Raw genomic sequence first — 17,008 nt, 5'->3', positions numbered from 1 at the left:
ATTTTTGGCTAAGTCCCCAAAAGCAATTGCAACAAAAACAAAAAAAAATGGACCAGTGGGACCTAATTAAACTAAAGAGATTCTGCACAGCCAAAGAAGCCATCAGTAAACAGACTACCTACAGAATGGGAGAAAATATTTGCAAACTATGCATCTGACAAAGATCTAATATCAAGACTCTATAAGGAACTTAAATCAACAAGCAAAAAGCTACCCCATGAAAAATGGGCAAAGGACATGAACAGACACTTCTCGAAAGAACACACACAAGTAAACATATGAGAAAATGCTCATCAGAGAAATGCAGATCAAAATCACAATGAGATACCATCTTCCACCAGTTGGAATGGCTATTACCAAAAAGTAAAAAAATAACAGATGTTGGTGAGGCTGCGGAGAAAAGACAACACTTCTACATTGTTGGTGGGAATGTAAATTAGTTCAGCCACTGTGGAAAGCAGTTTGGAGATTTCTCAAAGAACTTAAAACAGAAATACATTTGATCCACCAGTTCCATTACTGGGTATCTACCCAAAGGAAAATAAATCATTCTACCAAAAAGAAACATGCATGCATATGTTCATCGCTGCACTATTCAGAGTAGTAAAGACATGGAATCAACCTAGGTGCTCATCAATGGTTAGACTGGATAAAGAAAATGTGGTACATAGACACCATGGAATAGCATGTAGCCATAAAAATGAATAAAGTCATGTCCTTTGCAGCAACGTGGTTGGAGATGGAGGCCATAATCCTAAGGAAATTAATGCAGGAACAGAAAATCAAATACTTCATGTTCTCACCTGTGGGAGTGAAACTTTGGGCATTCAGGAACATAAACATGGGAATGACAGATGTTGGGGACAACTAGAGTGGGAAGAGACAGTGTTGTGGGAAGTCAGGGACCCCAAACAGAGGGACTGGCTGAAACCACAGCAGAACATAAATTGTGAAGATTTCATGGACATTTGTTAGTTCCCCAAATTAATACTTTTGTAATTTCTTACACCTGTCTTTACTGCAATCTCTGAACATAAATTGTGAAGATTTCATGGACACTTATCACTTCCCCAATCAATACTCTTATAATTTCCTATGCCTGTCTTTACTTTAATCTCTTAATCCCATCATCTTCATAAGATGAGGATGTATGTTGCCTCAGGACCCTGTGATGATTTTGTTATCTGGGCAAATTGTTTGTAAAACATGTGTGCTTGAATAATATGAAATCTGGGCATCCTAAAAGAACAGGATAACAGCAATTTTCAGGGAACAAGGGAGATAACCATAAAGTCTGACTGTCTGCGGGGCCGGGAAGAACCGAGTCATATTTCTCTTCTTTCAGAAAGTGAATAGGAAATATCGCGGAATTCTTTTCTCAGCAAGGAATAACTCTGGGAAAACGAAGGCATTCCCAGGGGGAGTCCCTAAAATGGCCGCTCTGGGAGTGTCCATCTTATGCAGTTGTAGATAAAGGATGAAATACTCCCTGGTCTCCTGCAGCGCCCCCAGGCTTGCTAGGATTAGGAAATTCCAGCCTGGCGAATTCTAGTCAGACTGGTTGTCTGCTCTTGAACCCTGTTTCCTGTTAAGATGTTTATCAATGACAATGTGAGCTCAGCAGGACATGAAACCTCATTAGTAATTCTAATTTTGCCCTGACCTTGTGATCTTGCTCTGCCCCCATTTGCCTTGTGATATTTTATTGCCTTTGAAGCATGTGATCTCTGTGACCCACAGCCTATTCATACACTCCCACACCTTTGAAAATCGCTAATAAAAACTTGCTGGTTTTGTGGCTCAGGCATCATGGAACCTGCCGACATGTGATGTCACCCCCGGAGACCCAGATGTAAAATTTCTTTCTTTTGTACTCTTTCTCTTTATTTCTCAGACAGGCCGACACTTAGGGAAAATAAAAAAGAACTGTTACATTGAAATATTGGGGGCTGGTTCCCCCTATAAGACAGAGGTGCATGTGGGCTGGAAAACTACCTATTGGGTACTAAGCTCACTACCTGAATGAAATATACCCATGTAACCAACCTGCACATGTATCCCCTGTATCTAAAATAAAAGTTGAAAAAAAAGTGACTGCTTTGTCTGATATTAATATAACCATAACAGCTTTATTGTTGTTGTAGTTAGTGTTTGCATGGTATCTTTTTTGGTCCTTGTACTTTCGATCCATCTGTATCTTTATACATAAAATGTGTCTCTTGTAAAATAAATAAATAAACAAATACATAAAACACATATAGATCACATCACAGCCTTCCTCAAAACCCTGTGTTCCCTCTGCATCATGCTTAGGACAAAGCACACAGTCCTTCCATGTCCAGGCCTACCCCTTGGACATCATTCCTGCCCACTCCACCTGTCCATTCTGCTTTAGTCACACTAGCTTCCTTTCCCTCCGGTGTGCCAGATGTGCACTTCTGTCTCAAGGTTTTGGCTCCCTCACTCAAATGACATATCCTCAGAGAGATCTTCTTATAACCCCTCTCTAAAGCAGCAGCTGCCACCACTTGCCCTTTACTCTGATTTGTATTTTTTAAATCCCCACTGGACATTATAAATACCTAATAGTTTTGTTTGTCTGATTCATCTCATGGAATGTAAGCTTCATGAGGGCTTTTGTCTTAATCATTATCGATTGTATTTACACTACCAAGAACTATATTTGAAAAATAGAAGGAACTCAAATGTATGTAGAATAAATGAGCCAATAAATACTACATAGTGACATTTCCCGTGGGTGGGAAGCCATCGCATTATTATCCAGGCCAGTGATGAGGATACAAGGGCATCCTACAGAGGAGAGGCACCCCTCTGCTGCCATGATATCATCTAAAATAGCTAAGTTGTTACATGGCCCCCCAACAAAAGACTAAATTTAGACTATATTTTCAAGAACTTTATTGAGGTATAATTGACATGCAATAAAAGACACATACTTGTTAATTTTGGGCATGCGTATACACCCATGAAATTATCAACAGAAACAAGATAATGAAAATATCCATGAATTCAAAAGTTTCCTTGGGCCCCTTGGTAATCTGTCATCTTAGCCCTCTCTGCCATTCTGACCCTCCCATCCTGAAGCAACCATGGATTTTCTTTCCCTTATTCTATTAATAGAATGTTATGTATTTTCTAGAATTTTATTTAAATAAAATTATACATTGTGTACTTTTTATGGTACAGGTTCTTTCATTCAGAATAATTATTTTGAGATTCCTGTTATTATGTACAGCATTCATTTCATTCATTTTCATTGCTGAGTAGTATTCCATCATGTGGTGTATTCATTTCATAGGGCTGCCATAACAAATTGCCACAAAATTGGTGGCTTTAACAACAAAAATGTATTCCCTCACAGTTCTGTTGGCCAGAAGTCTGAAATCAAGGTGTCGACAGGGTTCGTTTCTTCTAAAGGCTTTCAGGGAGAATGGGTTCCAAGCTTCTCTTTTAGCTTTTACTGGCTGCAGACAATCTGTGTAGTTCGTTTGTTTGTAATGCCTTATTTCAGTCTCTACCTCTGTCTTCCCATCACCTTCTCTTCTGATGTGTCTTTTCCCTTCTCTTCTAAAGACTCTTGTCATTAGACTTAGGTCTCATCCTAATCTAGGATGATCTTATCTTGATATCCTTAACTTAGTTATATTTGCAAAGACCATTTTCCCAAATAAAGTCACATTTACAGGTTCTGAGTGAACATCTGTTGGGGAGGGGTACCGTTCACATCACTACATATACATATACTACCATTTGTTTTTCCATTTACCTGTTGATGGACATTTTGGTTATTTTCAGTTTGGGGCTATTACAAATAAAGTGGCTATGAACATCCATTCACAAATTTTTGTATGGATATATGCTTTGTTTCTTTTGGGTAAATAGGAGTGGAATGGCTGGGACATATGGTAGGGGTTGTATATTTAAAAAATTAATATACTGTCAAACTGTTTTCTAAAGTTGCAGTACCATTTTACATTCCTACTACCAGTGTATGAGATTTCAAGTTGCTCTATATTTTTACCAGAATTTGGTATGGACATTATTTCTAATTTTAAATATCCTAATAGGTGTGTAGTGTTGTCTCATGGTTTTAATTTGCATTTCCGCAATAACGAATCGTGTTAAGCATCTTTTCATTTGCAAGTCATGTATCTTTTTTTTTTTTTAAGGCAAAGTTTCACGCTTGTTGCCTAGGTTGAGTGCAATGGCTCGATCTTGGCTCACTGCAACATTCACCTCCCCAGTTCAAGCAATTCTCCTGCCTCAGCCTCCTGAGTAGCTGGGATTACAGGTGCACGTCACCATGCCCAGGGCTAATTTTTGTATTTTTATTAGAGCTGGGTTTCACTATGTGGGCCAGGATCGTCCCGAACTCCAGACCTCAGGTGATCCATTTGCGTAGGCCTCCCAAAGTGTTGGGATTACAGGCATGAGCCACCACGTCCAGTCCCAAGCCATATATCTTTGATGAAATGTCTGAACAAATATTTTATCCATTTTATAATTGGGTTTCTTGTATTATAATAATAGATTAAGTTTTGGGTGTTTGTTTATTCTGGATTCAATTCCTTAATCATATATGTGAATTGCAATTGTTTCTCTCTGTTTTTTAGGAAGATGAAAATCTTTAATTTCGATAAAGTTCAATATATCAATTTTTCCTTTTAGAAATCTTTGCCTATCCCAAGGTCGCCAAGTGTTTTTCTAAGGTTTTCTTTTAGAAGTTTCATAATTTCAGAATTTTTAGGCTTTACTTTTAGTTCTATTATTCATTTTGAATTAATTTTTGAAGTGGTGTGAAACATATCATAGATAGAAGTTCTCCCTTGTTGATATTCAATTAGTCCTGCACATTGGCTCCCACTTGTAAGTGAGAACATGTGGAATTTGGTTTTCTGTTCCTGTGTTAGTTTGCTAAGGATAATGGCTTCTAGTTCCATTTATGTTACTGCAAAGGACATGATCTAGTTCTTTTTTTATGGCTGCATAGTATCATGGTGTGTATGTACCACATTTTCTTTATCCAGTCTATCATCGATGGGTGTTTAGGTTGATTTCATGTCTTTGTTATTTTGAATAGTGATGCAATGAACATATGCATGCATATGTCTTTACACTAGAACAATTTATATTCCTTTGGTTATATACCCAGTAATGAGATTGCTAGGTTGAATGGTATTTCTGTTTTTAGGTCTTTGAGTAATTGCCACACTTTCTTCCAGAGTGGTTGAATGAATTTACACTCCCACCAATAGTGAATAAGCATTCCTTTTTCTCCACAACCTTGCCAGCATCAGTTATGTTTTGACTTTTTAATAATAGTCATTCTGTCTGGTGTAAGATGGTGTCTCATTGTGCTTTTTATTCACATTTCTCTAATGATCAGTGATGTTCAGCTTTTTTTCATATAATTCTTGGCTGCATGTATGTCTTCTTTTGAGACATGTCTGTTCATGTCCCTTGCCCACTTTTTAATGGGATTGTTTGTTTTCTTGTAAATTTGTTTAAGTTCCTTACAGATACTGCATTAGACGTTTGTCAGATGCATAGTTTGCAAATATTTTCTCCCATTCTGTCAGTTGTCTGTTTACTCTGTTGATAGTTTCTTTTGTGGTACAGAAGCTCTTTAGTTTAATTAGATCCCATTTGTCAATTTTTGCTTTGATTGCAATTGCTTTTGGCATTTTTGTCATGAAATCATTGCCCGGTTCCTATGTCCAGAATGGTATTGTGTAGGTTGTAATACAAGGCTTTTATAGTTTTGGGTTTTACATTTAAGTCTTTAATAAATCTTGAGGTAATTTTTGTATATGTAAGGGAGGGGTTCAATTTCAATCTTCTGCATATGACTAGCCAGTTGTCCCAGCACCATTATTGAATAGACAGTTTTTTCCTCATTGCTTGTTTTTGTCAGCTTTGTTGAAGATCAGATAGTTGTAGGTGTGTGGCCTTATTTTTGAGTTCTCTATTCTGTTCTATTGGTTTATGTGTCTGTTTTTGTACCAGTACCAAGCTGCTTTGGTTACTATAGTCCTGTAGTATAGTTCAAAATTGGGTAATGTGATGCCTCCAGCTTTATTCTTTTTGCTTAGGATTGCCCTGGCTATATGGGCACTTTTTTGGTTCCACATATATTTTAAAACCATTTTTTCTATTCTGTGAAGAATGTCATTGGAAGTTTAATAGGAATAGCAATGAATCTGTAAATTACTTTAGGCAGTATGGCCATAATAATATTGATTCTTCCTATCCATGACCATGGAATGTTTTTCCATTTGTTGGTGTCATCTCTGATTTCTTTGAGCAGTATTTTGTAATTCACATTGTAGAGATCTTTCACCTCCCTGGTTAGCTGTATTCCTAGGTATTTCATTCTTTTTGTGGCAATTGTGAATGGGATTGTGTTCCTCATTTGGCTCTCAGGTTGGCTGTTATTGGTGTATAGAAATGCTACTGATTTTTGCACATTGATTTTGTATTCTGAAACATTGCTGAAATTATCAGCTGAAGGAGCTTTTGGGCCAAGACTATAGGGTTTTCTAAATATAGGATTATGTCATCTGCAAACAAAGATCGTTTGACTTCCTCTCTACCTATTTGGATGCCCTTTATTTCTTTCTCTTTCCTGATTGCTCTTATCAGGACTTCCAATACTACGTTGAATAGAGTGGTGAGAGAGGGTATCCTTGTGCCTGTTTTCAAGGGGAATGCTTCTAGCTTTTGGCTATTCAGTATGATGTTAGCTGTGGGTTTGTTATAGATGGCTCTTATTATTTTGAGGTATGTTCCTTCAATACCTAGTTTGTTGAGAGTTTTTAACATGAAAGGGGGTTGAATTTTATAAAGAAAGCCTTTTCTGCATCTATTGAGATAATCACGTGCTTTTTGTCTTTAGTTCTGTTTACGTGATGAGTCACATTTGTTGAATTGTATATGTTGAACCAACCTTGTATCTCAGGGATGAAGCCTACTTGATCATGGTGGTTAAGCTTTTTGATATGCTGCTGGATTATGTTTACCAGTTATTTTGTTGAGAGTTTTTGCACTGATGTTCATCAAGGATATTGGCCTGAAGTTTTCTTTCTTTCTTTTTTTTTTTATACTGTGTCCTCCAGGTTTTGCTATCAGGATGATGCTGGCTTTATAGAATGATTGGAGAGGAGTCCCTCCTCCTCAATTTTTTGGAATAGTTTTCTTGGTACCAGCTCTTCTTTGTATCTCTGGTAGAATTCAGCTGTGATTCTACCTGGTCCTGGGCTTTTTAAAGTTGGTAGGCTATTTATTACTGACTCGATTTTGGAGATCATTATTGGTCTGTTCAGGGATTCAATTTCTTCCTGGTTCAGTCTTGGGAGGGTGTATGTGTCCAGGAATTCATCCATTTCTTCTAGATTTTCTAGTTTATGTGCATAAAGGTGTTCATAATAATCTCTGATGGTTATTTATATTTCTATGGGGTCAGCAGTAATATCCCCCTTAGCTTCTTTAAGCTATATTTCATAGTTTTCAATGTACAATCTTGCACATCTTTCGTTAGATTTATACCTAAGCATTTAATATTTCTTGATGCTATTGTAAATTGTATTTTTCCCTTTTAATTTTAAGTTTCGGTTGTTCCTAGTATTTGAATATCTACATCTAGTTTGTATGTTGAATTTTCTATTCTGCAACCTTGCTAAACTCATATATTAGTTCTAGTGGAAGTTGTTTTATGAATATTCTACATAGATGATCATGTTGTCTATGAATAAGCACAGTTTTAATTTTTCCTTTCCAGTCTGGAAGGCTTTTGTCTCTTTTATTGTCCTAATTGTACTGGTTAGAATCTATAGTACAATGTTTAATAGAAGTGGTGAGAGCAGATTTCTTTCCTTGTTCCAAATCCTAAAGAGACTGCTTTCAGTCTTTTACTATGAAGTATTATGTTATAGATATACTTCTATAGATATAGATTTTTTTATAGATCTCCTTTGTCAAGTTGAACAAGTTTCCCTATATTCCCACTTTGCCAAAATTTGCTCATTGGGAATATTATAGATTTTAGATTTTGTCAAATGCTTTTTCTGTACATATTAAGATTTTTTCTTCTTTATTCTGTTAATATGGTATATAATATTAATTTTTGAATGTTAAACCAATGTTGCATTCTTAGAGTAAACCCCACTTAGTTATAATGTGTTATCTTCTTTATATATCATGAAATTTGCTTGATAAAATTTTATTAAAATTTTTGCATCTATGTTTATGAATGATATTGCTCTCTGGTTTTTTCTTATGATGTCATAGTCCGATTTTTGGCATCATAATAATGTTGGCATCACAAAATTAATTGAGAAGTATTCCTTCCTCCTAATATTCCAGAAGTTGTTGTTTATTTTTTATTATTTATTATTTAAATGTGGAAGTCATTAGTAAAGCCATATGGGCCTAAATTTTTCTTTATAGAAAGGTTTTAACTAGAAATTATTTCTTTAATTTAAATATTTAATAGGGCTATTCAAGTTATCTATTTCTTCTTGAGTGAGCTTTAGTAGTTTGTATCTTTCAAGAAATATGTTGATTTCTTATCCATTTTCAAATTTATTAAAATAAATCTTTTCTCAAAATTCCCTTATTAGTTTTTTCATATCTATACAATTTGTAGTAAAGTCACCTTTCTCATCTTGACACTGGAAATGTCATGTCTCCTTTCTCTATCCATCTCTCTCCCTCCATCTCTTTTTTCTGATCAGTCTAATTAGAGATTTATCAGTTTTATTCATCTCAAAGGATCAGCTTTTGATTTCACTAATTTCTCTTTTTCTATTCCAATGATATCCATTATAATTTTTATATTTATTATTTCTTCTGCTTACTTTGGTTTTATTGGATCTTAATTTGCTAGCTTCTTACAGTAGAAGCACTGACTTTAGACCTTTAATTTCTTATGCAGACATTTAATCCTATACATTTCCCTCTAAATTGATGGGAAATTTGTGGGACTTAGCTGCATCTCACAAGTTTCAAAATATTGTTTCCATTTGTATCTAGTTCAAAATGCCTTCTAATTTTCCTTTTTGATTTCTTCTTTGATCTTTAAATTATTGAGATATACGTTAGTTTCCAAATTTTGAAGATTTTTCCAGATATCTTTTTGCCATTGATTTATAATTTAATTGCTTAATAATCAGATAAAATATTTTTATGACTTGAATTTTAAAAATTTTATTGAGACATGGTTTATAGCCCAGAATGTGGTCTCTCTCAGAAAATATTCCATGTATACTTGAAAAGAATGTGTATTATACTGTTGTTGGGTGGAGAATTACATAAATTTCAATTATGTCAAGTTGATTCATAGTGTTTTTCAAATCTTCTATTCACTTACTGATTTTTGGTCTACTTGTATCAATTATTGAAGGGGTATTTAAATCTGCAACTAAAATTATGATTTTGTCTATTTCTCCTTAGTTCTCTGTCTTTGTGACATATATTTTGTCAGATGCACAGATGCTTTTTTTATGAATTGACCCTTTTATCATTATGAGATGACCTTCTTTAGCCTTGGTAATTTTCTTTGCTCCTGAATCTACTCCCTCTGATATTAATAAAGTCACTTCAACTTTATTTTGATTAGTGTCAGCACGGAATATCTTTTTCCATCACTTTTCTTTTGATATCCTTGTGGTATTATATTTAAAGTGGGTTTCTTATGAGGCAGCATACAGTTAGGTTTCCTTCTTTTTAAAAAATCAAATCTGGTTATCTCTGTCCTCTAATTGAGATATTTAGTTGACATTTAGGTTTTTCACTCTCATTTCACTCTTTGTTTTCTATTTGTCTTAGCTATTCTTTGTTCCCTTGTTCCTGTTTTTCCTGCATCTTTGTATGAGTATTTTTGTGATACCATTTGATCTCCTTTGTTGGGTTATTAGGTATAACTACATCTGTGTTACTTTAGAGGCTGCTTTATGGTTTATAGCTTATATCTTTAACTTATTAGAGTCTACCTTCAAGTAGACTTTATTTATAATGTAAAAATATTACAACAATATGCTTCCATTTATCCCAACAGCCTTTGTGCTATTATTGTTGTCATATGGCATAAACCCCAAAATATATTACTATTTTCTCTTTAAATAGTCAATTATCATTAAAATAAAAAGATTTTTAAAAAGAATACCAAGTCTTTTGTAATTACCTTTGTAAGTATCATGTGTGGGGCTCTTCACTTCTTTGTGTAGATCCAGATTTCCATCTGGTGTCATTTTCCTTCTCCCTGGAGGACTCTCCCTAAGATTTCTTACAGTGTTGATCTCCAGGTAATGAATTCCTTCAGTGTTTATATGTCTCCAAAAGCCTTATTTCCAAAGTTTCATTTTACTAAATGTAAATATTTACATTATTTCACCTTTCTTTATAGTTTTGTTTGGACATTTCTTCATTTTTTAGTATAATGAGTGTTTCAAAACTGGAAATGACTTGGGTTTCTATAACAATCAGAAGAGGCTGTATGACCCCCAAAATCAACTCCCTGGGCAGGAAAGAATAAACTCTGTAAGCCTAGGTTTTTCATACTCTGCATATTCCAAAGAAAGGCTTGTCTTCAGCATTGGTTCTTGGATTGCTCCTGGAAGATAACTCCTAAACCCTTGGAACATTCTGCCTGATAAGAGTGTTTTTGTACATCTGAGGCTTTAGGCCATCCTGTACCAGTTTGACCAGACAAGATTATCTTTATGGTGAATGCCTCTTTTTAATCTGGAGGGGACTTGAGTCTGAGTAACTGAGGTCATTCATATGTACATGCCTATGGGACTGACCTCCAGTTAAAAGTCTAGACCTCAAGGCTTAGGTGAGCCTCCCTGTTTGGCAGTATTTCACATGTTGCCACACATCACTGCCTGGAGAATTAAGAGTATTCCTGTGCGATTCTGCTGGACAAGGACACCTGGAAACTTGCACCTGGTTTCTCCTGGATTTGGCAAGATGTGCCCTTTCCCTTTGTTCGTTTTGATTTGTACCCTTTCCTTGTAATAAACTGCAACTGTAATTACGATGGTTTCTGAGTCATGTGAGTCTTTCTAGAGAATAACTGAGCCTAAGAATGGTCTTGGGAATCCCTGACACAACCTTTAAATTTCAGTGACCGAAAATCGGAAAGTTCTATTTTTTTACTCACATGACATGTCCTCTCTAGATGGGCTTGGAGGAAGGGCTTTGCTCTGTATCATCTCCACCCAGATAACCAGGCTGAGGGAGCCTCCTCCTTCATCCTTCAGCATTGTTGAGATATGGAAAAAGAAACATGATGAATCACACTGTTTTAAAAACTTCTGCCTTGAACTGACACATCACCGCCACTCACTTTCCGTTGGCCCAAACTAGATATTTAGCTACACTTACCTTTGAGGCAGCTGAGAAGTTCCGTCTCACCGTGTGCTCAGACAGAGGACTGGAATATTGGTGAAAGCATTCCTGATTACCTCAGCACCTACAAGCTCTAAAAGTCCTGGCTTGAGTCTTCTACCACTGCGATAGCAGGACCTATCAAGCAGAGAAAAATGATTATAAGAATGAGGGAGAGCTAGGAAAGTGCAATTTCATAATATTTAAGCAAGTAAAGAAATAAAAGGAGAAAGGGGTAGTTACAATTTATCAAGAAGATTTTGGTGCAGAAAAAGTGTATGATTCCTGAAGAGGAGGATAGATGGAAGCCAGCTTACAGGAGGTTCAAAAAAGGAGCTGATGGGTAGGAAAGGATGTCAGCATGCTTGGACATCTGCTTGAAAAGTTGGGCAGCAAAGATGAGAGAAAATATTTGATAAGTTCTATTAAAATGCTTAAAATCTCTGAAAATCTAAGTAAGATAGTAATGTTTCAATGAAGACTAGAGGTCCATGACTGCTCATGCATGCTTAATCGTTTCAGTCTTTCCAAAATAGGAAGTGAGGTACCATCAGGATGAGGTATGAGGTTTGGTTTAAAAAAAAAAAAAGAACAATCAAGGTATCCTCTGTGGAGCAGGTGTCAGGCATAAAACAATAATGACTAGAGATCATGATGTTGATGGTAACACTAATATTTTGTAAACATTTATTAAACACCCATGTCTTGAGCACTAAGATACAAATTGGGAATAAAATAACTGGAGGAGACTGGTCCCTGTCCTTGAGAAGCTACTTTGTAGTTAACAGTAACGTTTGGGTGAGCCATGCAGTAAATAAGCATATGAATCAGGTATGGAGGTCAACAGAGAGGTGGTTGTTAAAATACAGCAGTAGAAAGGTGATATGAACAATTATGGGAAAGAGAAGCCTATTCTGTCCAAACACCCCGATAATAAAATTCCATGTATGTTTAACTCAAATACTGAGTTATGTGTTTTCAATGCATATAGCTCAGAGTTTTGACTGTTTAGATCCCTCTCCTGTACCAATCAACAAATATTCTCTAAATCCAGAATATTCTCCTCACTAGCTGCTGAGCAGTTGCAGTGAATGAGGCCAAGGGCAGTTTGTGCATTTAATTGACTCCAGCAGGTCAGGCTGGAGTTCACTAGGAAAGCCTCAAGGGTGTCTGCCTCCTTTTCTGCATTTCTGATATTTCTGCTGAGAGGAAGCCGAAAACAAGGTGGGCCTCTGGCCAGTTTCTTCAAAAGTCTGTAGGTGAGGGAAGTAAAGCACAGGCCACCCTTGCCTTCAGCAATTGTTCCTGGGCTCAGACACTGGGGAGCTGCTTCCTCAAACTCCTGTCAACTAAGCTTTCTGTGATCTGTCAGAGGAGGGAGAAGCTGCTGGGGCCTGAAGGGACAAGTGCCAACTTGCAATAAGGAGACCCTGGAACGCCAGGCAGAACATCACTCCCCAGTCATCCCGTCCTCTGGGTAATGATGCTCAATGGCCTCATAGCTGCTTCTCCCGCAGGACACAATTTCAGTGTCATTGTGGAGGTAGAGAATGCCACACAGAAAGAGGACCCAAAGCCAAGGAGGCAGCAGACTGGAGAGGCTCACAGCTTCTGGGCACCGAAGCCGAAGCTGACTTCCCCATCCCATTAGAGACAGGCTTGGAGGGGCCAAACACCATCAGAACAATTTTCCCTGGCAGAGAAGCCCGGGACTAGAGCAAATCCAACTTTGGGAGGCCGAGGCAGGCAGATCACAAGGTCAGGAGTTCGAGACCAGCCTGACCAACATGGTGAAAACCCGTCTCTACTAAAAATACAAAAATTAGCCGGGTGTGGTGGCAGACACCTGTAATCCCAGCTACTCAGGAGGTTGAGGCAGGAGCATCACTTGAACCCATAAGGCAGAGGTTGCAGTGAGCTGAGATCAAGACATCACACTCCAGCCTGGGCCACAGAGTGAAACTCCATCTCAAAAAACAAACAAACAAAAAAACTAAACAAAAATAAAAAACCACCACCACCACCACCACCACCACCAACAACAACAACAAAAAACTGCTTGTTGCATTCATTTGGCACCAAGCTTACGGCCCATTCTTCTGAGTTCGGGCCTGGGGCCCTACGGTCACCTCTCACTCTATACCACCCCCAGCTTGGTCTGATTCCATTTAATTTCATAGTCTATGGATTACCCACGATGTGCTGGGGACATATTACACAGAGACCACATATTAATAGGGGAGACAGACACAAGTAACTACACACTAAACTTAATGCATGATTTAGGAGCTACAAAGTATCTAGAAACCACCAAGAAAGGAAAGATTTTAACAGTAGGATCACATCTAAATATTCAGCATCCTATGAAAGATTCTTGGCAGACTGGTCCTCATAATGGTGATAATATGCTTTCCTTGATTTGAAGATGCACACTTTTCGTACTTTGGTGTTTCTGAGATTCAGCTGCTTCTTACAATTGATGTGTGCATTTAATGTGGTTTATTCTGCTTGCCAAAGAAGAAAAAAGCTGATAATTAACAGATAGTTCAGTTTTTTCAACTGATGAGAACCTAGACAGAGGGAAATATATTAATAATAACACAGCACTAATGGGCTAGACAATATGCTAAATGTTATGTGAACATCTCATTTCATCCTCACAACCAACCTAACATGGAGAACAATTGTCAAAGCCATTTTCCAGGCAAAGAAACAAAGAGAAATAGCTTTCCCAAGGTCACGGCAGGCGAGGAGCAGAGTTGGGATTCAAATTTAACCCTCTTTGGCTCCAGAGTCCATGATCTTAATCTCAAATGCTACCTGTTCACATCTCTCTTCCTTTACTAAACTGGTTCCTCTGCCGGGAAGACTTCTGCCACTCCTCGTTCTAAGACTTGCTTCTCTAGATAAGGCAGGGTCAAATGGTATCTTTCCTGTAACTATTTCCCTGACCACTTGATACAGCTTGAATTTTTCCTCCTCTGAACTCCCATAGCAATCTTGTCACACTGGTAGAGTATAACTTACTATACTGCATTACAGCTGTCAGTATAACTTTATTCCTCATTACAGTGTGAGTGTCTTAAAGGCAGAGACTCTCTCCTACTCGTCTTTATATACCCAGGGCCCAATACAGTGCCTGGAAAACAATTGTTGTTGGCTGAGCTGCTTAAAAAATGTGTTTTCCCTACTTCGTTGAGATATAGAGAAAGCTTTACAGACTTTTAAATGATAATTTATTGAGTACAAACTACTGACATAATATTAGCTAAGAGCTTTATATGCTCTTATACTTTTTGTGAGAAGAAATGAGATAATCAGTGTAAAACACTTAAAATAGCGTATGGCACATGGTAAGGATTCAATCACGTTATTTTTTAATTATTATCACTATTTAACCATTGTGAAAATTCACTGAGTAGTTACTATGATTGTTAGTGTTCTATAAATAAGGCAACTGAGTAATAGAAGGCGAAGAAACTTATTCACTGTCAAACAGACAATGAAGGACAGATTTTGATCATTTATGTGTATGTATCAAATCTTACCTCATGGATACATTTTTCATAATTTTACACAGTGCAGGGGGTATCTCTGCCTGTTCTCTAGACTTCCAGTGCCTGTTAGCTCTTCTGTACAATCATGTTGGAGCTGCTCACTGATCTTTAGGTGCTGCTCAACTCCAGGTTTTCTTGTTATTTAAATCTTTTCTTCAGCCTCTCTGCTCCAAAACCTGGAAGATCTGAAAGAAAAACTTGGCTGAATATGGTTGTGTCTCTGACAAAGACTGCTGTTCTGCTGACGTTTCTCTGAGATCTGTAACAACTCTGTCTGCATCCCAAGCCATGGGTTTGGTGAGCTGCTTAAAATTGGCAGTCAAAACTCTGATTTGACCATAAAGACATATGTATGCATATGTTCATCACAGCGCTTTTCACAATAGCAAAGACATGGAATCAACCTAGATGCCCATTAACAGTGGACTGGAAAAAGAAAATGTGGTATATATACACCATAGAATACTATGCTGCCATCAAAAAGAATAAAATCATGGCTTTTGGAGCAACATGGATGCAGCTGGTGGCCATTATCCTAAATGAACTAATACAGGAACAGAAAACCAAATCGTGCATGTTCTTATTTATAAGTGGGAGGTAAACATTGAGTACACAGGGACACAAAGAGGAGAACAATAGACACTGGGGCCTACTTGAGGTTGGAGGATGGGATTGAAAAACTGCCTGTCTGGTACTATGCTCACTACCTGGATGATGAAATCATTTGTACACCAAACTCCAGTGACACGCAATTTACCCACATAACAAACCTGCACAGGTACCCTCTGAACCTAAAAGTTGGAAGGAAAAACAAACCCAAAAGGAAGCCCCTATGATTTGAAGAAACTTGCAGTAGTCAAAACTTGTCATTCTAAAGTTGAGCCACAAGGAAGCAGTAGTGTCCTAGCTGTAAGGTCTGAAGATGCTGGCATATTTATTCTAATGCCTTCCCTAGACTTACAACCTTAAGCTTTGCATATTTCATTTACTAAGTTACTATAGTTACCCAACAGTATTTGTAAAATATGATACTTGGAATTTATGTTACAAAGAAATAATTTCAATCTTAAAAAGAGAGTCAAAGTATAATTTTGCATTTTTCTTTTAACACTTATTTTATGCTGCATAACTTTCCTCTGAGGCTGCATTAAATAAAGAAGGAAAGAGATAGAGAAGAAGGGGCAGGAGGACAGAAAGCAGGCCACAGGCTTTATTCTTAGCAATCAGACCTGCTCAGGCAAACCCCACATCTCCTAGGCCTTTCTAATCTGCCTGCAGTTTGTGATAGTCTTCATCTTTTTTCTATGTCAGGTAAAAATGACTATGCAGCCTGTCCAATCTGATTAATCGAATTAAAGAACAGTCTTGGCCGGGTGCGGTGGCTCAAGTCTGTAATCCCAGCACTTTGGGAGGCCGAGGTGGGCAGATCACGACGTCAGGAGATGGAGACTATCCTGGCCAACATGGTGAAACCCTGTCTCTAGTAAAAATACAAAAAAAATTAACTGGATGTGGTGGTGTATGCCTGTAGTCCCAGCTACTTAGGAGGCTGAGGCAGGAGAATCACTTGAACCCAGGAGGCAGAGGTTGCAGTGAGCTGAGATCGCACGACTTCTCGCCAGCCTGGCAACAGAGTGAGACTCCGTCTCAAAAAAAAAAAAAAAAAAAACAAACAAAAAAAGAGAGAGAGAGAGAGAACTGTCTTGATTTTCCTTCCTATAATTTAGAGCCCCTGATTTATTTTTCAACAATAACAGGAGTTCCCTGACCTCATGGTATCCTGATGCTCCAAAGTTACAGAAGGCTTCAAGTACAATGAATCTAAATCAAAAGAAGGCACTTCTTTTTTCAGTTTGGTTGAGAAGTAAAATATCACCTTCTTTGTTTTCTCAAGGTCAGAATAAATGAGCTGTGAACGATTACATGTATATGGATATGGATAGGTAGGTAGATAGATGAATATAGATATATGATATTATGCTTATATGTTTCATATATATTGTGTGTGTGTGTTTGATACAGGCAATGTGCAAAATATTTTG

General features: G+C 37.3%; 1 protein-coding gene across 2 annotated transcripts in view; it reads right to left on the bottom strand.

Annotated features, from left to right (window-relative positions):
• Positions 1 to 17,008, bottom strand: part of C12orf54 (chromosome 12 open reading frame 54) — an 83,371-nt gene that overhangs the window by 25,793 nt on the left and 40,570 nt on the right. For both annotated transcript variants that reach the window (XM_017018796.2, XM_011537896.3), the window contains exons 2-4: positions 14,958 to 15,151; positions 11,407 to 11,547; positions 11,183 to 11,276 (exon numbers count right to left, since the gene is read on the bottom strand). The gene's annotated coding sequence lies outside the window, so the exon portion shown is untranslated. The remainder of the gene's footprint in view (positions 1 to 11,182; positions 11,277 to 11,406; positions 11,548 to 14,957; positions 15,152 to 17,008) is intronic.

This window comes from Homo sapiens, chromosome 12 (assembly GCF_000001405.40).
Source record: "Homo sapiens chromosome 12, GRCh38.p14 Primary Assembly".
Taxonomy (NCBI): Eukaryota; Metazoa; Chordata; class Mammalia; order Primates; family Hominidae; genus Homo; species Homo sapiens.
The sequence above is the reverse complement of the archived record's forward strand: the minus strand, read 5'-3'. Positions and strand labels throughout refer to the sequence as shown.